This window comes from Homo sapiens, chromosome 6 (genome assembly GCF_000001405.40).
Source record: "Homo sapiens chromosome 6, GRCh38.p14 Primary Assembly".
In the NCBI taxonomy this organism is placed as follows: domain Eukaryota; kingdom Metazoa; phylum Chordata; class Mammalia; order Primates; family Hominidae; genus Homo; species Homo sapiens.
In genome coordinates, this window is record NC_000006.12 from 39,220,715 (window position 1) to 39,241,812 (window position 21,098).

Sequence of the window (21,098 nt, forward strand, 5' to 3'; positions counted from 1 at the left end):
GATTAGGAGCTCACTGCATGATGGGTCCTGCAGGGTGGTGTCAGGGACAGAGTACACAGAGGAACTGGGTACAGGAACAGCAGTTAATACGTAGCCAGTCACCTGTTACATGTGCCAAACACACTAACATGTTAACATAGACCCTATGGGCATGACGGACATACCGTACTATTATCCCATTTTGCAGATGAGATGACTAGCTCAATGAAGTCACACAGCTCAGTATCCTGAACTCTTAGCCCCATGCACCCTAAGACTCTGAGGACACCACATATGCCCTGCACTTTCTCGCCTCTATGCTTTGCTCCCTGCTTTGCCCCACCTTCAAGGTAGCCTCACATAGAAGAGAATAGTTCACAGTGTGAGCTCTGGGTTCAAAACCTCATCCTTCCACTTCCTAGCTACATAGCCTCAGACAAGTTATTCAATCTCTATGGTCCATTCTGTTGCTTCTACTGTGAGGTCGAGCTGATCACAGAATTTACTGCAGAGGGTGGCTGCCATGATTCAGTGAGATGATGCACATCAGTGGCTCCCACAGCCTGTGGCCCCCACAGCCTGTGGCCAAGTAAGTGCTTGTAACTATTGGTTGCCCAAGCCTGTCACTCCCAGCCCCCGACTCCACCTCCACTTATGGACAAGACCGAAGCTTCCAAGTCAACAAGAGGGATTCAATCTCAGTCCTCTATCCAACAGTGTAGACCTAGGCAAGTCACCTGGCCTCTGGTTTCCTGTCCAATGGGAATAGCAATACCTAGCCCACAAAACTGGTTCAAGGAGACACAGGTAACATCCCAGCCCAATGTCTGGCACCTGGTAGGCACTCCACAGAATGCTCACAGGGCTACTGCCCATGCCACTCACCCTCCAAGCCTGCCTTCTTCTAAGCGCAGAAGTAAAAATTCATCTCTCGCCCTGGTGCACACCTGGAGTCCCCAGGTGCACTTACCAACATCAATCTGGTAGCAGCTCCTTACTATTCTTCCTCCAGGTTAGGGGCCCCCTGAGGGCAGGGGCTGTGTTTTGTTTGGAGCCAGGTCTTCCACAGGCCAAGGAGTTTGGCTACAGGCCTCAGAAAACAGAAAATGAATCCCCCCAGCCCCTTCAACATTTGCCCATCTCTCCAGCCTCTTCCATCTACAACCCACCACTGAGCACTTTGGACTGTATTTCCTCTCATTTCACCACTGCGGCCCAATTATCTTTCCTCAGCTGCACTGATCTCCAGAGGGTTAAAGACTCTCCAATATCTGAGGTTTCATCAAGCACAGAAAGGATAGCCAGTAGGGAGGGCCCGTTCTGTGTTTCCAACTCCACTGTATCCAGGTCTCTGAGGTTCAGAGATTGGGATAACTGCTCACCAGAAGCCTAGAGGCCTTAGGCAGCTGAACAGAGCTACAACTGGAGCACACCACCCCCACTTCTACATAAAGGGATAGCGAAGATGCAATCTGGGAAGGTCACCAAACGGGAGACGGAATGTCTTTGGCTGGGCCAGGGACCCAGACCTGGACCTAAGGGGCTCGTAGTAGGAAAAGAACTAGAGTGTGAAGGTCAGTGGGTTTTTCTGGGGGCTGTAGGCAATATGAGCTTTCTGGGAAAACCCACACTACATCACATCAGCAGGAGAAAGGAAGGAGGGGGTGTCCTTATCAGAACACCCACAGAGTGAAGGGATCAGCCCACAGAAATGTCGTTATTTTAGAGTAGAATGTTCCACTTCTTTTAAGCTGTAAATGGCTGTGGAGGAAACTTTCTGAAATGTTGTTCCCTCCCCTACTTGAAAATTGCAAAAATTTGATGGAGTTCAAATTCCTTGGCAACCCAGAAGAGCTTAGTCATGTGACTCTCACCTCCCTGGCCTGTGGCTACAGCCTGTTGGGTCCATCCTGCAGAACACCTCCCCAAGGGCTATGGGCAAGAGACAGCCACCATCCCCATCCCTTTTCTAGTTCTTTAGAAGTTTGGTTGATACACACCCAGAAGTAGGAGCACTGCATCACTCAGTAGTTCTATTTTTAATTGAGGAAACTCCATACTATTTTTCACAGTGGTTGTACCACTGTACAAAGCAAAAGAAATACTATATGACTCCACTTAGGAGACATCTAAAGTAGTTAAGTTCACAGAAACAGAAAGGAGAATGGTGGTTCCCAGGGGCTGGGTAGAGAGGGAGAAGAATTGTTGTTGAAGGGGGTATAATTTCAGTTTTGCAAAATGAAAAAGCTCTGGAGATCTGTTTCATAATGGTAAATATACTTAACACTACTGAGCTGGGCTTTTAAACGTGGCTAAAATGGTAAATTATATGTTTCTGTGTTTTTTGCGTTTAAAAAATTCAGTTGACGTTCTCTCTGTTCTAGGAAGACCTTCCTGATTCTTTGTAATACCAATTAGATTCCCACCACACCTGTGCAGGGACCGCTCCATTGCAGCATAGGAATATCTGGGCATAGCAGAAATGGCAGCTAACACTTAGTGAGCATTTACGATGTGCCATACACTATTCTAAGCAAACTATGGTGTGGCTTCAGAGGCCACTCCCACAACCATCAGACATACTGCTTGGTTGGTGATTCCTTCAGCAACACCACCAAGGCCCCGCAGTGGCAGCTGGACAAAGATCCCTACTGAGGGCAGCACATCCTCTCTCTATGTACAGCCATACTTGGGAAGAACTGAACAGGCAAGGGTTCCTCTGCGTTATTCCAGAGGTCCCTGGGGACTCAATGAAATCTCAAAGAGATTCGCTTCCATCTTCTCCACTCCCTACAAGGAATATTGGAAGGAGGCAAACCTATTTCATGTGCTTTCCTATGGTCTCCTACCTCACTTCTCTGTACCACCCCAGTTCTGGCCAACTGGTTCTTGCAGCACCATGCAAATACAGCATCCCAATTTGGACAAAGACTGTCTTGGAGGCTCCACTCAGGGGCCTGGCTCCTCTGCTCCCCAAAACCTTGCACTTCTCTCCCTCCTCCCACCACCACCAACCACACACACAGTTCAGAGGCTGAGCCCAATCTGCCAGCAAACAGCCAAGTTCAAGATGAAAGCCTTTGGCCCGAGGTCAGGGCCAGCCAAGCACAGCATCCAAAACCGGGGGATTTTGTTTCTTCTAAACGCCAGACTATAAATAGGGCAAAACCCCAGGAAAATATTTAAAAGCAACAATCATCACCTCCTTTGCATCCCCCACCCCCACTGGAAACTTTCAACACTTGCTAATTTCTACCCTCAATAATTCTCTATTACTGTGCCATCTGTAATCATCCTAAGGGTTCTAGTCAAACGCTCAAAGCAATGTAATAAACATTTACTTTCACTGTTAAAAAACTCTAACCAGAGCAGTTAACTAAGGCAGACTAAGGCTTTTTTTTTTTTTTGGCTACCCTCAACTTTTGAGTGGAACATAAATAAGAAACAAGCCATTAGGAAGGGACCTCTTCAATTTCCTCTCAAAAAACCAGCTTATCCACTTTCCACTTCTGCAGTCCTAGCCAGTAAGAACTCAAGCTCGGACCCAAGGCTGTGGAGGCCTCCAAGATCCTCCATAACCAAAAGAGCTATTGTGTTCCTTTTACTTACAAAGGCGGTTAAGTGGACCAGTGCATTTCACAATTTCCAACAAGGCCTGAGACAAAGAGGGTGTTTATATTAACCCTCAACTTTCCAAAAAATTCAATGTACCCCATTCTAAGCATTTTGGCCACATGTAATTTTGTCATATATTTCATGGTTTTATTTTTCAAATCTGGGGAGCAGGATTGGTGTTAAAAGAGTGCCAGAACCTCAAAATTGGAACTAGCCTTACTACTTTGGACTGGAGTGTGTATAGACCAGTCCAAAGGGTCCAGAAAATGAAAGGAGGTACATATGGAAAACCTTAGAACACAAGAAAGCACTTTGGAGCTTAGGAAGGAAGGAGGCCAGTGGGATCCAAGAGGCTTCCGGGAACAGGTCAGCTATATGAGCAGTCAAGCAAAACCTGGACTTTGGTCTGGGATGCTAGACAGAGGGCAGGACCTAGGGCAACCCTGCTCCACCCTCAGGAGACAAGGGACTCTCTAGAGCCACAGCAAGAAACCTGCAGTCTGCCTTCCCCAGGCTAGGAGAAAGGGCCACTCTCCATCTTCTGTTAGGAGTCTCTTCTCCCTTCCTTTACCAGTTAGGTTTTTTTTTTTCTTTAATCTTTTTTTTCTTTTTTTGAGACAAGCTCTTGCTCTGTTGCCCAGGCTGGAGTGCAGTGGCGCAATCCAGGCTAACTGCAGCTTTGACCTCCCAGGTTCCCAGCTGTTCTTTCTAATCCAAGACCCCACTCTGGCTTGAGGTCATCTCCTGAGAGCCCTCCCTGACCCCTCAGGCTGGACCAGACCCTCGTTAAGCGACCTCCTGAAAACCTCTTCTGTAGCCCACACCCACTGTCTTGTTCCCAGTGGGTTTATGTATCCTTTTCTCCAGCAGCTCGGAGTGTAGCCTAATTCTTTGTATCCTGAGAGTCTTGCCCAGTGTCTGGCACATGGTGGATACTTAATAAATGCTTGCTAATTTCCATGTACTTTGAAACATGAAACTTAGATGTGAAAACTGACTCCGCTCTATGTGATCCCAGACAAGTTACACTGGCTTTTCCCCTAATTTTCCTCATTTATGAGGTGGCCTGCAAGATTAAATTAAAATAAGAATGTATATAAAGTGCTTATTCAAAGTGGTCTGGTGCACGGTGGGCTCTCAAATCCTTCCTGTTTCTGATCACTGCCCACCAGAGGCAGAAGGTTGAGAAGGGCTGTCCTTCCTCCCCTTCAATCACACCCCCACTGTTTTTGGTGGGACAGGGGTTGGGGACTTCCAAAATGAGAAGCGCAGAGGGGTGGACTGATGTATTACTTCAGTAACAGAGGTGCTGGGTCAGCCAGGCAACAACACAGGAGACGCCTGTATGCCATTACCTGTGCTAGGGGAAATAGAAAATAGAATTTTCCAGCAGATCAGGGTCCAGCTGAACCAATTTCCTAAGCTCAGTTACAGAGCAACAATCTTCACAGGCCCAAGAGGGAGGTGCAAGCTCCTGGGGCAGACTGCCTGGTCATTGCCCCTCCCCGTCCCGCCCCATAGGCTGTGCCTCCTGTGGTGTCCCTGTGGCCATTCTATCTTCTCTGGGCTTCAGCTTGCTTACTTGAATACATACTGTAAAGAGTACCTGAAATAAGGCAGGTAGGTAAAGCTGCCTTCCTCAATAAATGCTAAGGTCAGGAGACCTGTTCACTTTTTATAGACATCTTGCCTAATGTTTCTACTCTATTGGAGCCTCACCAAACACTCATTTTGCAGATGAGGAAAGGAAGGCAAAGTTAAGTTACATGGCTTGATGGGTAAATGGCCGAGCCAGATGGCAAAACCAGCCTGTGCCCTCTCTCATAAAATGAGGATAATAGCACCCACAATGCCCAACACAGAGTAGGTGTGCTGTAAATGTTAACTTCCCTTGTGTGAGTCTGCAATTTAGGAAGAGGTTGGGAGAATGAGTCACCAAAGATCTTGCTTGAGAGCAAGGGTTCAAGATGGTTCTGAAGACAGGAAAGAGGACGATCACGTGGTCCCAGGCTGGCGGGTCACTGAGCACTTGAAAGTCAGCCTGCACCTCACTTCAACCACAGCGGAGGGAAGGAAGTATCTGACAATTCGGGGGGTATTTCTAAAGAAAGTTGACTTAACTCCCTTTCTCACACATTTGAAAGAGCACACACAACTTTCAGGGTAAGAGAAACCCCAACTCAGACTGCACCCCATCTCTTCCAACAATCTTTGTCCCACCCCTGGTTGTACCCCAGGAATTCCTAGCTAGGGGCTCCTTCATGATTCCAAGGTGATTCAGAACCAGCTAAAACACAGAGCGTCAGGTGGAAAATGCCCAAGCAGCCAGATGGGAAAGAAGATTTTTGAGTTTTCATTTTTCCTTAAACCAATATCCTGAGGCCTGAGGCAGTACCCCAAGTCACAAGAAAGCAGAGCAAGGCAGATTTCTGCAGATTAAAACTGATGTCAGCAAATGCTTCTACTTGTCCATTTTCATTTCTTGGGGTTTTTCCTATGACGGGAAGGGACTCGCCCAGTTGGGGTTGGTTTGGGAGTTTCTTTGGCCGGGGATGAGGACAGGGCTGTCCTTGTTCAAGAACTTATCTATAATAGCCTCCAAAGCAGACTGGCTTGATGCCCAAGTCCTTTTTCTAAAAATTACCTGCCCATTACTTTTTTTTGGTAGGGGGGTAAATGTTGACAGATTTAACAGGACTGCTAAATAAGAGGCATTTTGTTTGTTCAAATACCTTAAGAAGCCGTCTAGCCTCCAAAGCTATGACCACCAGCTGCACCCGGCTGCCTAACCCCTGGACCCCGCCCCCCCCGCCGTATGCCCCGCCAGCCTTTCCCTTTGCCTTGTGTTTTGAAGTTTATTTTCCCACATTTAGCCTTGAATTCTTTCCTTCCTTCCCCTGCAGTGTTGGAGCAACAGCTTAGAGGGAAACACTTCGAGGGCAGCTCAAGGCTTTATCATCCTTGCCTGCCCTCTTCCCCCTCTAAACAAAGCCCTGGAACAAACTAAACAAAAACTTGTTCTCTAGAGGAATTGTTTCCTCAAGGGAAATCATAAAGCAACCCCCTCCCCACAACACACCCCCCAGGGTAGACGCCCATCAGAAGGAAGCCATGTAGACTCTTCATGCCAGGACTCTTGCTGTTAGGAGGTAAACCAACCAACCATCTACTGAAGCTTATCCTCCCCACCATCACCTCCCATCTGCCTCTACCCGGGAAACTGCTACAGGGCAAGAGACTCTCCACTAAAATCCAACACTAAGCCTGCTAGACTAAACCTCCCCTTCTACAGGACCCCTTGGAGGACAAGTCTCCCCACACACGGCTGCCAGCAAATACGTATATGCTTATCTGTGTGATGTCCATCAATCTGGGGACAAGATTTTGATGTTTTCCAAATGCTTCCAACCTAACAGTCCGTGGCAGAAATAAGGAATGAGGATGGGCTCATTCCCGTTTCTCACATGGGGAAACGGAGGCTGGAAAATGAGCGACGACTAGATAGGCATAAAGTATTGAGGTGCTGCTGTAGACTAAACGTTGCTTCTCATCAGACCTCCTTTCTGGCATCTTTCACCCTGAGAGCAAGGTAACACCCTGGACAATCTACCCCTACTCCCTACCTGCTGCAATCTAGAACTTTCACCCAGGTCCTGGTCATTCCACTGGGGGAGCAGGCCAAGAAGAGTTGATGGTTGAAGCTGAGCCCTCGAGAAACTGGGGTAGAGGGCCTCGGTCCCCAAATGGGCCCCAAGGTCTCAGCCAGGATAGGCAGCCCGTTTATCCAAAGTGAGGTCAATGCCACCCATCGGGCTGTGCACCAGAAAATAAGCGGTTCCCAATGTCAGCACGGAGGGAAGTCCCCCACCCACCCCAATTCCGCACACACTCTCCTCCCCCATCATAAAGGGACTACGCGGGTATTATTCGTTTGTGCAACCTGCTACTTTCACAAAGTTTTACTCCAAGCCCTTGAAGGATGTCTCCGCGAGATAAGCCTTCCCGGAAGCCTGAGCGCGTCCCCAGCATTCCAGGCACCAGCCCTCATCCCGTGGGTTCGGGCCCCACAGAGCCTCCAGCTCCTCTCCGGAACTCTGCTGGGGGCGGAAGATTTTGCCCAGGCTCGGGCTGAGGGACCCTCCCGCCACTCTGCCGGGTTCACGTTCCTTAAGAAAAGCCTGGCAGGCGTGGCACTGGCCCTGGAGCGGGGAGGTGGAGACACGAGGGGATGGCACCAGGCTTGGCTCCCAGACTCCGGGAGCGTCTCCAGGGAAAGATAAACGCCTTTATCCGTCCCACAGCCTCTTCCCAAGGAGGGAGGTACCGTCACACCCACACTGAAACACCGTGGAGCCTAGTTCACCCGGGAATCAACTCCAATTTGTCTCCGGCCAAACTAAGTTCCAAAGAGTCTCCGCGCCTGGGGGACCCCTGTGTCCCTCGGGTGAGCGACAGATCCTCGAAGCCTGACCCATGATGAGACACGCTCTCTCATCACCCCCTGGACCTTCCACAGGGACTGAGGGTCACCCAAAGCTGTGAAGGGGTCTTCCTTTCAGCGCCCCCTAAAGCTCAAGCCAGCTTCAGATGTATATGGGGGTACAGGCGGCGACTGACCTCTAGGATCTTGTCCAGGCCCTCCTGACCCAGGCACGGGAACTCCTTGAGCAGATGCAGCTTCTGTGTGTAGTAGTTTTTCTTGGCCTCCTTCCAGTGTGGCTCCTCCAGCACTTCGAAGATCGCCGCCCCGATGGCCAGGTAGAAGATGATGGCCGAGGTGAGCAGAGGGCCCCGGTCCACCATGGCTCCCGAGCGGCCGCCTCCTAGAGAAAGCCTCTCCTAGCCCCAGCTGCTACCAGTCCGCCCGCCCTCCAGCCTCTGAAAACAGCTGTTTGAATTTGGAGCTCCGCATGCGCAGTGCCCGGTACTCACCCCCCGCAAGCACCGCTCCCCGGACAGAGTTGCTTGGCCAAGTTGGCCCACGGAGTGCGGGGAGCTGCGTGGGGCCCCACTCACGCGGCCCGGGGTGGGCGAACACCAGCGGGGCTGAAAGGGCGCCCTGGACCGCGGATGCGTAAGGAGCGGGAAGAACACAGGACTTGACTCTGGGCAGACACGTGGGCCGCTTCTCCACGCGTCGCTCCTCCGCGCGCCACTAGCAGTATGCGCCGCGCCCGCCTCCGCACGCCTCTTTAACCAGCGCCCGGCGCGCTCTGCCCCCTTGCTCCGGGCTCCGACCGGGGAGGAGCCCAGGCGGGCCCCGCCCCTTCCCCGCACAAGCAGCCCGGCGAGCGCAGGAGTGAGCGCGAGGTGAGCGCTAGAAGAGGCTTGGCGCTCCCCGCGCTCCCAGGGTCAGCCGCCAGGGGAGGCTGCGCCGCCCGCCCAGACCTGCACGCCCTGCGGTGCCCGAGGGGTTGCGGTCTCAGGGACTCGTGTTTGTTATTAGGACTGGCGTGTTAACTAAAATGATTGTGACTGAGGTCAGGAGTTTATTGCTTTTGTTATTTTTATTGTAATTCCATTTTCATTTACTGATGTTTCTTCCAAAAAAGTCTAATGCTCAGTCTCTCCGTGTCTCTCTTCCACACACTTTCTTGTAAGCCTGAGGAAGGGGGTTAGAACGGGGCTGAAGAAGCTGTAGGGAATCAGAGGACATCAGGAACTAATCCAGCCACCCACGCGTGATTCCTCCCCCTCACCCCGTTCTCACCTACCCGGGTGAGAACCCTGCATCTGGAAGGAGTGGGCAGCTCAATTCGTGGCACCCCTGTGCGCCCCCCCAATACACAGTATCTCTACGGGAAACACTTGGCCTCTTTTCTTTTTTTCTTTTCTCTTTTCTTTTCTCTTCTCCTTTCCTCTCCTTTCCTCTTTTCTTTCAGACGGAGTCTCACTCTGTCGCCAGGCTGGAGTGCAGTGGCACTATCTCGGCTCACTGCAACCCCCGCCTCCCGAGTTCAAGCAGTTCTTCTGCCTCAGCCTCTCAAGAAGCTGGGACTACAGGCGCACGCCATCACGCCCAGCTAATTTTTGTATTTTTAGTAGAGACGGGGTTTCACCGTGTTGGCCAGGCTGGTCTCAATTCCTGACCTCAGGTGATCCGCCCGCCTCAGCCTCCCAAAGTGCTGGGATTACAGGCGTGAGCCACCGCGCCCGGCCCACTTTCATACATATGCTCCAGCTGATTTAAAATTCCACCCCCGCCACCTTATCTCCCTCGTTGGCTTTATGTCCTTCCTAGTACTAAATTCCCTCTGCTATATTATATAACTTTATTTATTGTTTACTCTGTATTGTGCCCTCTCCCCGCCACACACACACAGACACACACACACACACACACACACACACACACACACGGAAATGTCTGCTGGGGAGATGGAGAATCTGTCTTGTGTAATGATGTATCCACAGTGCTTGTTACATACATAGCAGACACTCAATAACCATGTGTGCAATGAAGGAGTGAATGAATTTGTTAAAAACAGGTGCCCAGGATGTTTCTAACTCGCCTTGCTGCCATTCTCTGAGCTCTTGTAAACCCCAGGAAGTACTGAATCCCTTCCATGCATCATAAGCAGGCCCTGTCATTCGACCCACTTTGCAGTGAGGAAAAAAGCTCAGTGGGTTAGTTTGTTCAGTCTTTCAACCAGCACCAGTCAGAAGTTGGAGGGGGAACCTCCTTTCAGTGCTCTGTACCAGGGGCTGGCCCTGCCCTTCTCTGGCCTCTGTAGGGGCAGGTACTGGAGTGGCCAGAGTCCCTGAGCACTGTCCCCTGGCCAAGGCCTTTTCTTTCCATCGAGAAGAAGGGGAGTCATTTCTCACCTCCTACCCACCCTGTACCCAGGCTGTGGCCTGAACCCCAAGGTGTCAAGAGACACTTTACTTGGGGAGGGGGGTATCTGTACTATCTCCAAATCTGGCTGGAATGGAGGGGTTAGGGATACAGTTGGAAGCATTGATCTGATTTTGCTGATGTTTCTGTCTCTCCTTATGGCAACATGAGCGTGTCCAGAGAAGAAGACCAGAGCAGGAAGCTGGGGAGCCCCAGATTTCCTGATACTGCATCCCTGAGGTGTGCAGTGCCAGTCCCCTCAGGACCCCCCTGGCCAAGGATCATCCTGGACAAGGCCCTGGGGGTGCTTCTCTGTAGACAACCCACTCCCAGCACCAGGCCTCTCACCCAACCCAACATATCCATCTTCTCTAAGCCTTGCTGACCTCCTGCCTACCCTGTCCCCCAGGCTGTGGCCTGAACCCTAGCTCTGCAGTCTCATTCTCCAGCCCTCCAGCTGGGATGGAAACCAAGCATGGGTTCCGGATCCCCCCTCTCTGGATGGAGTTCACCCTGTTTGTGAAGAGTTCAGGGCTGCAGTGTGAACGCTTCAGTGAGCATGGGGTGGGGGCAGTTTGAGAGGCCACAGGCCCTCTCTTTGTTTGGAAAATTCCCTACCATTCCTCTCCCACCTCCGGTCTGTGTTCTCTTCCTAAGAAAATAAAGGGCCTCTTCCTATTTCGGTCTCACAGCCTCATGAAAATGCTGAACACTTTGAGATGAATTGATTTTTATTCGAGGCCTCTGTATGTTGTAGTTTCTTTGTCCTTCCACTCTGTTTCTGCATTTCCTGTCCCCTTCTTCCTTCTTGCTCTCCATGTGGTGCTGACTGACTCCTCATCCTCTCCTTCTGTCGCCGCATCCTTTGCTTTCCTGTATTTTTCCAAAGCTCCTTCCCCAGCTCTTCATTCTCCCTCCTCCTGCCTCTCTCCTTTGTCTCCATCCCAGTTGAATGTGCTTCCCCTCCCCCAACTTCCCCTCCCCTCCCCATCTCCCCACTCCCCTCTCCAACTCCCCTGCCCCAGCCAGATAGTTGGATCAACTTGACCTTCTGTAGATCAGGGGCACACACCTGCTCTCTGCACAGCAGCCAGTGGGGGCTTTTATAAAATGTAAACTGTGCTGAAACTATCGAATATTTAGACAACACGAGCCTTAAGATTGGAAAAGGGAAAAGTGGGTAAATGGGAATGAGGTGATGTGAGATATATATTTTCCTACAGGGCTGATAAATAAATCCATTCCAATAGCATACGTGTAGTTCTTAGTATTATGATTATTGATCAGGGTTGATAATAATTTCAGAGTGCAACCTTTTGGAAGGCAATCAGCTCTGAGGAATGTAAACCAACAATAAAATTCTAGGCCCCTCCCAAGCAAGCAAATGGACCCTTCCTCTTGACCAAGGGCATTCTCAAGTAAACACAAAACACTAGTTCAGGCCATGATGGAATGGGTGGTTGGACATGGCTCCTTTTTTTTTTTTTGAGAGGGCGTCGCACTCTGTCACCCAGGCTGGAGTGCAGTGGCACAATCTCAACCCACTGCAACCTCTGCCTCCTGGGTTCAAGCAATTCTCATGTCTCGGCCTCCCAAGTAGCTGGGACTACAGGCATGAGCCACCACGCCCGGCTAATTTTTTGTATATTTAATAGAGATGGGGTTTCACCATGCTGGCCAGGCTGGCCTCAAACTCCTGACATCAACTGATCTGCCCACCTTGGCCTCCCATAGCACTGGGATTACAGGTGTGATCCAAAGCGCCCAGCCGACATGCCTCCTTATAACTTCCTCCCTTTGGAATTCAGGCACAGCTGACCAGCATTAATATTAAAACAGAGACCTTAAGGCACAACCTGGCCAACATGGTGAAACCCTGTCTCTACTAAAACTACAAAAATTAGCTGGGCGTAGTGGCTTATGTCTGTAATCGCAGCTACTCAGCAGGCTGAGGCATTAGAATTGCTTGAACCCGGGAGGCAGAGGTTGCAGTGAGCCGAGATGGCACCATTGCACTCCAGCCTGGATGATAGAGACTCCATCTCAATAAAAAAAAAAAACAAAAACCCAAAAAACAGAGACCTTAAGACTGACAGTACAGACTCTTTGTAGCAATAAGAATCATGACAGCAGGCCCTGAGAGAAATCGAAGTATTTTACCCCAAAATATATTCATTTGGCCTATTTTGAAATGCTCCTGCAGGAGCGCTCCCTGCGCTCCCGGGGTCGTCTGGCACCTTTGTAAGTTGGATAACGAACATTTATAATCTATTCTCTCTGAAGCCTGCTACCTGAAGGCTTCACCTGCATAATAAGAACCTTGTCTTTACAACCCCTTATCTTAACCCAGACATTTCCTCCTACGGATTTCAGGTCTTTAGATAAACTCAACCAGCTACCAATCAGAAAATCTTCGAATTCACCTATAACCTAAAATGTATAAAAACAAGCTGTACTCTGATAACGCTGGACACATGTTCTCAAGATCTCCTGGGGCTGTGTCATGGGCCATGGTCACTCATATTTGGCTCAGAATAAATCTCTTCAAATACTCTACAGAGTTTGACTCTTCATCCACAGGATGGAGTTGAGCTTCACCTTGACAGCAACAAATAATGAAACTTCTGCAGGTCTCATCTCCAGAGATTGGCTGAGCCATCAGTTGTTTTGGCCAAGGTCATGCTTCCAGGATCTCTCCATAAAAGGTTCACACCCACCTTTGTTTCTTCCTTATTTCAATTAGGTAAAGGGATTATCCTCTTGGTAAAATGAACACTTGGTAATCCAACACAAATGCTGTTTTTATTTCTGTTTTGTAACATTTTTGTTTACATTGTTTTATATTCTGTTTAAGAATTTTAGGCCGGGCGCGGTGGCTCACGCCTGTAATCCCAGCACCTTGGGAGGCCGAGGCGGGCGGATCACGAGGTCAGGAGATCGAGACCATCCTGGCTAACATGGTGAAACCCCGTCTCTACTAAAAATACAAAAAATTAGCCGGGCGTGGTGGCGGGCGCCTGTAGTCCCAGCTACTCGGGAGGCTGAGGCAGGAGAATGGCAGGAACCCGGGAGGCGGAGCTTGCAGTGAGCCGAGATAGTGCCACTGCAGTCTGGCCTGGGCGAAAGAGTGAGACTTCGTCTCAAAAAAAAAAAAAAAAAAAAGAATTTCAGAGGAAAATAGTCACCCTCTGCAAATCGGATCTGATCAAAGGAGTTATATAAAAAGCCATTAAGAGCGTAAAGTGATTCAATATCATCATTACTTGAAAACCTTATTTCCATAAATAAAAAGCTCTGTAGCTGTCAACTGAAAAGGTCAACAGGTTCTATTTTTATTTTTGTTCTTGTCATATTGCTTAAAAGACAGATGATATGAAATGCCTTATAAAATCACTTACATTATGAAAGATTATCAATTATTTTATAAACTTGCCCTATTTCCAATGGATCATTTGGAAACTTGGGGAAATATCTGTTAAATTTTCTTTTTTTTTCTTTTTGTTTTTTGTTTTCTTTCTGTTGTTGTTTTGTTTTGTTTGAGACACAGTCTCCCTCTGTCGCCCGGGCTGGAGTGCACTAGTGAGATTCAGCTGACTGCAACCTCTGCCTCCTGGGTTCAAGTGATTCTCGTGCCACAGCCTCCTAAGTAGCTGGGACTACAGGCATGCGCCACCACGCCTGGCTAATTTTTGTATTTTCAGTGGAGACAGGCTTTCACCATGTTGACCAGGCTGGTCTTAATTCCTGACCTCAGGTGATCCACCCACCTAAGTCTCCTAAAGTGCTGGGATTACAGACGTGAGCCACTGTGTCCACCGACTTGTTTTCAGAACCTCTGAAAGAAATATATCTTAAATTTTCATGTCTACAAATTCTCCATTTACTCAATTAGAAAGGTTTCTGAGTGGTAAATTTAATGTACATGATAAGGCAAGCTTCACGTTTTATACTAGGAGAAACATCACTGAACAAAATAAATCACAGAGCAGAGCAACAAGGATGTTTTTAAAAAATAGTGAAAATGGTATATGCATACAACGAAGTATTATTCAGTCTTTTTTTTTTTTTTGAGATGGAGTCTCATGAGGTGGCATGATCTCAGCTCAATGCAACCTCCACCTCCCGGGTTCAAGTGATTCTTCTGCCTCAGACTCCTGAGTAGCCGGTATTACAGGCACACGACACCACGCCCAGCTAATTTTTGTATTTTTAGTAGAGATGGGTTTCACCATGTTGGCCAGCCTGGTCTCCAACTCCTGACCTCAAGTGATTCGCCTGCCTTGGCCTCCCAAAATTCTGGGATTACAGGCATGAGCCACCACAACCGGCCTACTCAGTCTTAAGAAAAAAAAAGTGATCCCGTTGCATGCTGCAACATAGATGAACCTTGAGGACATTATACTAAATGAAATAAGCTGGTCACAAAAAGATAAATACTACATGATTCCACTTATCTGCGGTATCTGAAGAAGTCAAACTGTTAGAAACAGAAAGTAGAATGAATGGTGGTGGCCATGGTGGGAGCGGGAGGGGAAAGGGGAGTTGTTCAATGGGCATAAAATTTCAGTTTTGCAAATTGAAAATGTTCTAAAGAGTTACTGCACAACAGTGTGCATACTGATAATATTACTGTACTGTACGCTCAAAATAGCTAAGGGGGTAAATTTTATTATATACTTTTTACCACAATTAAAAGAATAGTGAAATGTAGAATGTGTAAATTCAATGTACGATATTTGAGGTTGCAAGAATTAGCCGGGCATTGAGGAGAGAGATGTGGCTAAGTGGCGATAATTAAGTTAGGTAAATGTTGCCCTGGCAGGGTTTCAGTCACTCTTAATAGCAAAGCTACATATCCTTTGCTCTGAAAGCCCATTATCGAGAAACGTGTCCTTGTAGCTTAAGAGCAGAGCTCAAGCACTAATTCTGAATTATTTACGTTTGAAGATTTCAGATAAGTCTCTGTTGTCATTTCAAAGACTTTTTCTTAAAAAGCGAAATGGTAATATCAGAAATTTATTGCGATTTGCCAACGTCTAAAATTTCTATGGCCAGGAAAAATAATTTAGTAACAAAAGAGGCCCTCATTCTGAACCAATTTAGAGGTCATCCAAAGCTATTCCTTAAACTGGGTCATTTTTAGAGTGACACGGCAGGGTGCGATTTATGGTACCTACCCCTAAACCTTTCTCCCCAACAATCATTGATTCCTGAAATTCCATCATGTGAGAGCCATTTCTCGGTGTTAAACATTGCCCTCTCGCTAAGACCTCTTTTCAGACCGAGAAAGGACTATTGCATTAAGATCTAACATTTTACTTCTGTGGATCCTAGCCTTTATTTGTTTTGGTCACTACTTTGAGAATCTATGACTGTTTCCTCAGAGAAAATGCATCATGCACATACCCACCCAGACTTCTATACAAGTTCTGATGGCTCACAGGAAACCCAACACACACACCACACACACACACTCCACACCTCCACCTCATCCTCCCCTAGGTTGTTCTGGGCTGGAAGACTCTACAGGCACCTTGGGCAGGGAGGTTTGGGGTTATAGCACAGCGCTGATTGATGAGGGAGATAAAAGAGGAAAAGCCAAGTGGAAAGGGTAAGCAAATTGAAGCAACTTAAAAAATTTTGCAATAATAATAAGGTGCTTTTGCCGTGTTCACTATGTGCTAGATATTTAATACACACTACATAAGATAGTGCAGATAAATAAAGCATTTCATCATTTTCATTATCTCATTTAATGGTTGCAATGACACCATGGGGGATGATCAGCCCATTTTACAGATGAGGAAACTGAGTTTCAGAGAGGTGAAGTAACTTGCTCAAGGTACCCAGGGTGACCCGTGCCCAGAGTCCACGGCTGTCCTCACTACCTGAGCATGCTTCCCTCCCCTCATATATATGAGGTCACCACTCCCCTCATATATGAGGTCACCACTCCCCTCTCCCATGGCCTCCTCCAGCTTCCCTGAAGTCTTCTGGTTTCCTTCTGTGCTGAGAATCCTCCACCTGCTGGCCCACCCTCTCCCACCCATTGTGGGGTGGCTGGGCATGCCCAGCAGCCCTTTGGGAATACCTCCCTTGTCTTTCTGTCCTGTGGTGAGCAGCTTCCTGGGTTGCTTGGGGTAGCTCTTTTGGAGATTGCAACCTCTCCCTGCTGGTCTCTTCCAGCTCAGTTCCTTTGCTGGTCACCCTTAATAAAGACAGGATCTTTGAGGATAAGAAGAAATGGTCAGTGGGGACAATTGCACTTGGCATGTAGGGATGACAATGCCATGCTGACCCTGCCAATGTCTTTGGGCAACCATTTACAATGCCTCATATTCATACTTTTTTTTTTTTTTTAATGTGATAGAGTCTTGCTCTGTTGCCCAGGCTGGAGTGCAGTGGTGCGATCTCAGCTCACTGCAACCTCTGCCTCCCGGGTTCAAGTGATTCTCTTGCCTCAACCTCCTGAGTAGCTGGGATTACAGTTGTGAGCCATCATGCCCGGTTAATTTTTGTATTTTTAATAGAGACAGGGTTTCGCCATGTTGGCCAGGCTGGTCTCCAACTCCTGACCTCAAGTGATCTGCCCACTTTGGCCTCCCAAAGTGCTGGGATTGCAGGCGTGAGCCACTGTGCCTGGCCAGCACTGCCTTTTAAAACAAATGTAGACAACAAACCAAAGTACTATTAGCAGTACCCGAGACTCTCTCACCAACAGATATCACAGTTCTTTTCCTATCCCATGAACATGGTGGCAGATAGTTCAAAATTTTGTCTCAAAATTATGTCAGTTAGGAGACCCACCGCTGTAACTTATCATATGAGGTGTTTATTAAAAAGTGCATATGTCTTTGGAGGCTGAGGCACTAGAATCAGTTGAACCCGGGAGACAGAGGTTGCAGTGAGCCAAGATAGTGCTACTGCACTCCAGCCTGGGGGACAGAGAGATATTCTGTCTCAAAAAAAAAAGCTCATATATTACTATTTGCAAATTTTATTTTATTTATTTTGAGATGCAGTTTCGCTCTTGTTGCCCAGGCTGGAGTGCAATGGTGCGATCTCGACTCACCGCAACCTCCACCTCCCGGGTTCAAGCAATTCCTCCTGCCTCAGCCTCCCGAGTAGCTGGGATGACAGGTGCCCGCCACTTGCCCAGCTAATTTTTGTATTTTTAGTAGAGATGGGGTTTCACCACATTGGCCAGGCTGGTCTCAGACTCCTGACCTCAAGTGATTGGCCCACCTTGGCCTCCCAAAGTGTTGGGATTATAGGCATGAGCCACCACACCCGGTCACAAATTTTATTTTTAAGAAATATATTGATCATTGTTTTTTAACATACTTGATTGCCTTTATAATACATTATATACATATGTGTATACATATGTATAGTACATTATATACATATGTGAGTACATATATACGTGTGTGTGTGTATATATATATATATATTTTTTTTTGAGGCAGCATCTCACTTTGTCGCCCAGGCTGGAGTGCAGGAGTATTATATCAGCTCACTGTAACCTCCCCCTCCCAGGTACAAGCAATTCTCGTGCCTCAGCCTCCCGAGTAGCTGGGACTACAGGCAACCACTACCATGCCTGGCTAATTTTTTTTTGTAATTTTAGTAGAGATGGGGTTTTGTCATCTTGGCCAGGCTGGTCTCGAACTTTTGGCCTCAACTGATCTGCCCACCTCAGCCTCCCAAAGCACTGGGATTACAGGCGTGAGCCACCGCACCCAGCTCAGTATATTTTATTTTATACATTTAAAACATCACCCTAGGGGCTAGGCATGGTGGCCATGCCTGTAATCCCAGCAGTTTAGGAGGCTGAGGAGGGCAGATCACTTGAGGTCAGGAGTTGGAGACCAGCCTGGTCAACATGGAGAAAGCCCTTCTCTACTAAAAATACAAAAATTACTCGGTGTGGTGGCGCATGCCTGTAATCCCAGCTACTTGGGAGGCTGAGTCACAAAAACCGCTTGAACCCGGGAAGTGGAGGTTGCAGTGAACCGAGATCGTGTCACTGCCTTCCAGCCTGGGTGACAGTGAGGCTCCATCTCAAAAATAAAATAAAACATCATCATAGGAAGAAGTCCACAGGCTTCACCAGGCTACCAGAGGGGTGCACGCAACAAAAATAAGCTTATGCATTCTGCCCAGGTTTTAAGTAGGCAAGTAATCTGATTGTTGTAGCACTTCCAAGAATTCACAAAGGCAGCTCGTCCTTCAGGAGGTGGTAGCAATAGTTCAGGGGCGAGATGACGGGGACCAGAAGGAAGGTAGGAGCAGTAGCAGTGGGAAGCAGGGACGATTCAGGAGATGTTAGGGGAGTTAGCAGCTTTGTGATCTAGGGCCCTGCCCCTGTCTTCAGAGCCCTGCTACTTTATGCTGCTGTCTGCAGAACCTGCTGCATTCTGGAGTTGGCACCAATACTAATCTGCCTTTCCTACCCCATTGCCTGAACACTTTGCTCCCACATGGAGCCCCTCCCCCAGCCTGCCTCCCCTGACCTCCCTTGCCGCCTGGCTGCATTAAGCAGCTCCAGCAGGCCTCATACAGACCCACTGTTTAATGCCTATGGCATCCTCATCTGGCCTGGATCTGGCTGCTCCTGAGGGACACCAAGATCCCAGAGACAATTGGCCACTTGTCCACTGAATGGGAGAGGGGCCTGAGGATTGGTTGGGAGGCGGGTGGGGAAGGGAGGAGGATGAGGAGAATGCCAAGGGGAAGGAGCAACCAGGATTCCTGGGATTTCTGCCTCCCGAGCCAATGTCCAAGAAGGAGCTGGGCAATAAACAGAACTTGAACACACACGGGACTTTGGCCATGCAGTCCTAAGACGTGTTCTGGAGTGACAGCTCACAAGGCACTGGGGATCCACTGGCTTGGAGTCCCCTGTGTTATTATGGGGCCCATGACACTTAAGTTACTATTGATCTAACGTTATGAGCGCCTTCCTCCTCAAACCAGCCACCTTAATGTTATCCTTCTGTCAGGGACCCAAGCTGGCCCAGCCTGGAAAAAAACCACTGATTCATGTCCAGCTGAAGGACATTACTGAAGGTGAAGATATTGGGGTGGATGGTCTTCCTCTTCCCTCCCACTGTTTTTTACTAGTCTGGGCAAGGAAGGGACCAGTTATAAAGTGATACCATGATCTGAGTCACTGTTACTGCCTGCTTCTTCAATGCCAGGCATTGAGCTCAGCACTTTATAATGTTACTGCATTTAACCTCACGACTAGCCTCTATGCAGGCCTTGTAATCATCCGCATTTTGCATGTGAGGAAACAGGTTCAGAGGGGGTAAGTAGCTTGCCCTACCTAGTGTGCATGGAAGCCAGAACTGAGACCCAGGCTGGTTTGATGGCACTTAGACAGGGTGAGGCCCCAGGGAACTTTACTCCTCAAGCACCCAACCCATACCCCTCCGGAGCCAGGCTTTTACCTGCTGGGGCATGACAGAGCTGGCCCTGCTGCTGATTCTAAAACTATAAAACCTAAGGCACAGGAAAGCCCAGATGAGGTCCTCTTCATTTGCCAAGACTGACTTCCTATACAGGGTGGAGGACTGTCAATGCTCAGAGGTGGTAGAGAGAAAGGGCCTATGGACCACGGCTGCCTCTTTCTCCACCAGGGGAGGAAGTCTTCCCTGGAGGAACAGGAAGATGTTGTACCCACCTGAGCCTCCAACCTGCTCTCCCATCTCCAGCTGGTGCCAGAGTGCTATAAGCCCCTGACAGACTCACATCCTAGGCAGTGGCTGTCAGTGGCTGGCAACATCCCCAGAGGAGGGACAAGGCAGACTTTATGCACTCCCAAAAGGAAGTATTCAGTGCCACCCTTGCCAACAGTTGAACTTGAACCCCACCGAGCCTCTAGACCCAACAGCCCATTCCTAGAAAATTCAGGGGCCAGAGGAGTACGTTAAACAACACCACAGGAATGTAATCAACAAAATGGAGGTCAAACAACCTGGTTTCTTGTTTTTGTTTTTGGTTTGGGTTTTTTTGTTTGTTTGTTTTTGTTTTTGTTTTTTTGAGATGGCATCTCACTCTGTCTACAGGCTGGAGTGCAGTGGCATGATCTCGGCTCACTGCAACCTCTACCTCCCAGGTTCTAGTGTTTCTCCTGCCTCAGCCTCCCGAGTAGCTCACACCACGACACCCAGCTAATTTTTGTATTTTTAGTAGAGACAAGGTTTCACTTTAACAAATATATAACAGGAAAAAAAAGAAAAAAGAGGAGGGAAGGGAGAAAGATTGTGCAGAAAACTATAGATGATGGCTGGACACAGTGGCTCACACCTGTAATCCTAGCATTTTGGGAAGCCGAGGCAAGTGGATCACGAGGTCAAGAGTTCAAGACCAGTCTGGCCAACATGGTGAAAGGTGATCTCGGCTCACTGCAACCTCCGCCTCCCAGGTTCAAGCAATTCTCCTGCCTCAGCCTCCTGAGTAGCTGGGATTACAGGCTCATGCCACCACTCCTTGCTAATTTTTGTATTTTTAGTAGAGATGGGGTTTCACCATGTTGGTCAGACTGGTCTTGAACTCCTGACCTCGTGATCCGCACGCCTCTGCCTCCCAAAGTGCTGGGATTACAGATACGAGCCACCTCACCTGGCCTAATTTTTTATTTGTAGAGACAGGGTCTCACTGT

At 48.5% G+C, this 21,098-nt stretch overlaps 1 protein-coding gene across 2 annotated transcripts in view, besides 5 other annotated features; it reads right to left on the bottom strand.

Annotated features, from left to right (window-relative positions):
- KCNK5 (potassium two pore domain channel subfamily K member 5) overlaps positions 1-8,761 on the bottom strand; it is a 40,505-nt gene extending 31,744 nt beyond the window's left edge. For both annotated transcript variants that reach the window (XM_005249456.2, NM_003740.4), the window contains exon 1: positions 8,212-8,761. In XM_005249456.2, coding sequence (XP_005249513.1) covers positions 8,212-8,397 — 186 coding nt within the window. In that variant the 5' untranslated portion in view covers positions 8,398-8,761. The remainder of the gene's footprint in view (positions 1-8,211) is intronic.
- Positions 4,959-5,253: an enhancer, noted in NCBI's record as "tiled region #4644; HepG2 Activating non-DNase unmatched - State 10:DNaseD, and K562 Activating DNase matched - State 5:Enh". NCBI's record gives its function as "activates a minimal TATA promoter and a strong SV40 promoter by Sharpr-MPRA in HepG2 and K562 cells {active_cell/tissue: HepG2 | K562}" and the evidence as "EXISTENCE:reporter gene assay evidence [ECO:0000049][PMID:27701403]".
- Positions 7,439-7,508: a silencer, noted in NCBI's record as "silent region_17163". NCBI's record gives its function as "represses an Ori minimal core promoter by ATAC-STARR-seq in GM12878 lymphoblastoid cells {active_cell/tissue: GM12878}" and the evidence as "EXISTENCE:reporter gene assay evidence [ECO:0000049][PMID:35858748]".
- Positions 8,522-8,601: a silencer, noted in NCBI's record as "silent region_17164". NCBI's record gives its function as "represses an Ori minimal core promoter by ATAC-STARR-seq in GM12878 lymphoblastoid cells {active_cell/tissue: GM12878}" and the evidence as "EXISTENCE:reporter gene assay evidence [ECO:0000049][PMID:35858748]".
- Positions 8,702-9,051: a silencer, noted in NCBI's record as "silent region_17165". NCBI's record gives its function as "represses an Ori minimal core promoter by ATAC-STARR-seq in GM12878 lymphoblastoid cells {active_cell/tissue: GM12878}" and the evidence as "EXISTENCE:reporter gene assay evidence [ECO:0000049][PMID:35858748]".
- Positions 9,339-10,066: an enhancer, noted in NCBI's record as "H3K4me1 hESC enhancer chr6:39197829-39198556 (GRCh37/hg19 assembly coordinates)". NCBI's record gives its function as "activates a minimal SCP1, AML or CMV promoter by ChIP-STARR-seq in primed H9 embryonic stem cells {active_cell/tissue: H9 hESC(primed)}" and the evidence as "EXISTENCE:reporter gene assay evidence [ECO:0000049][PMID:30033119]".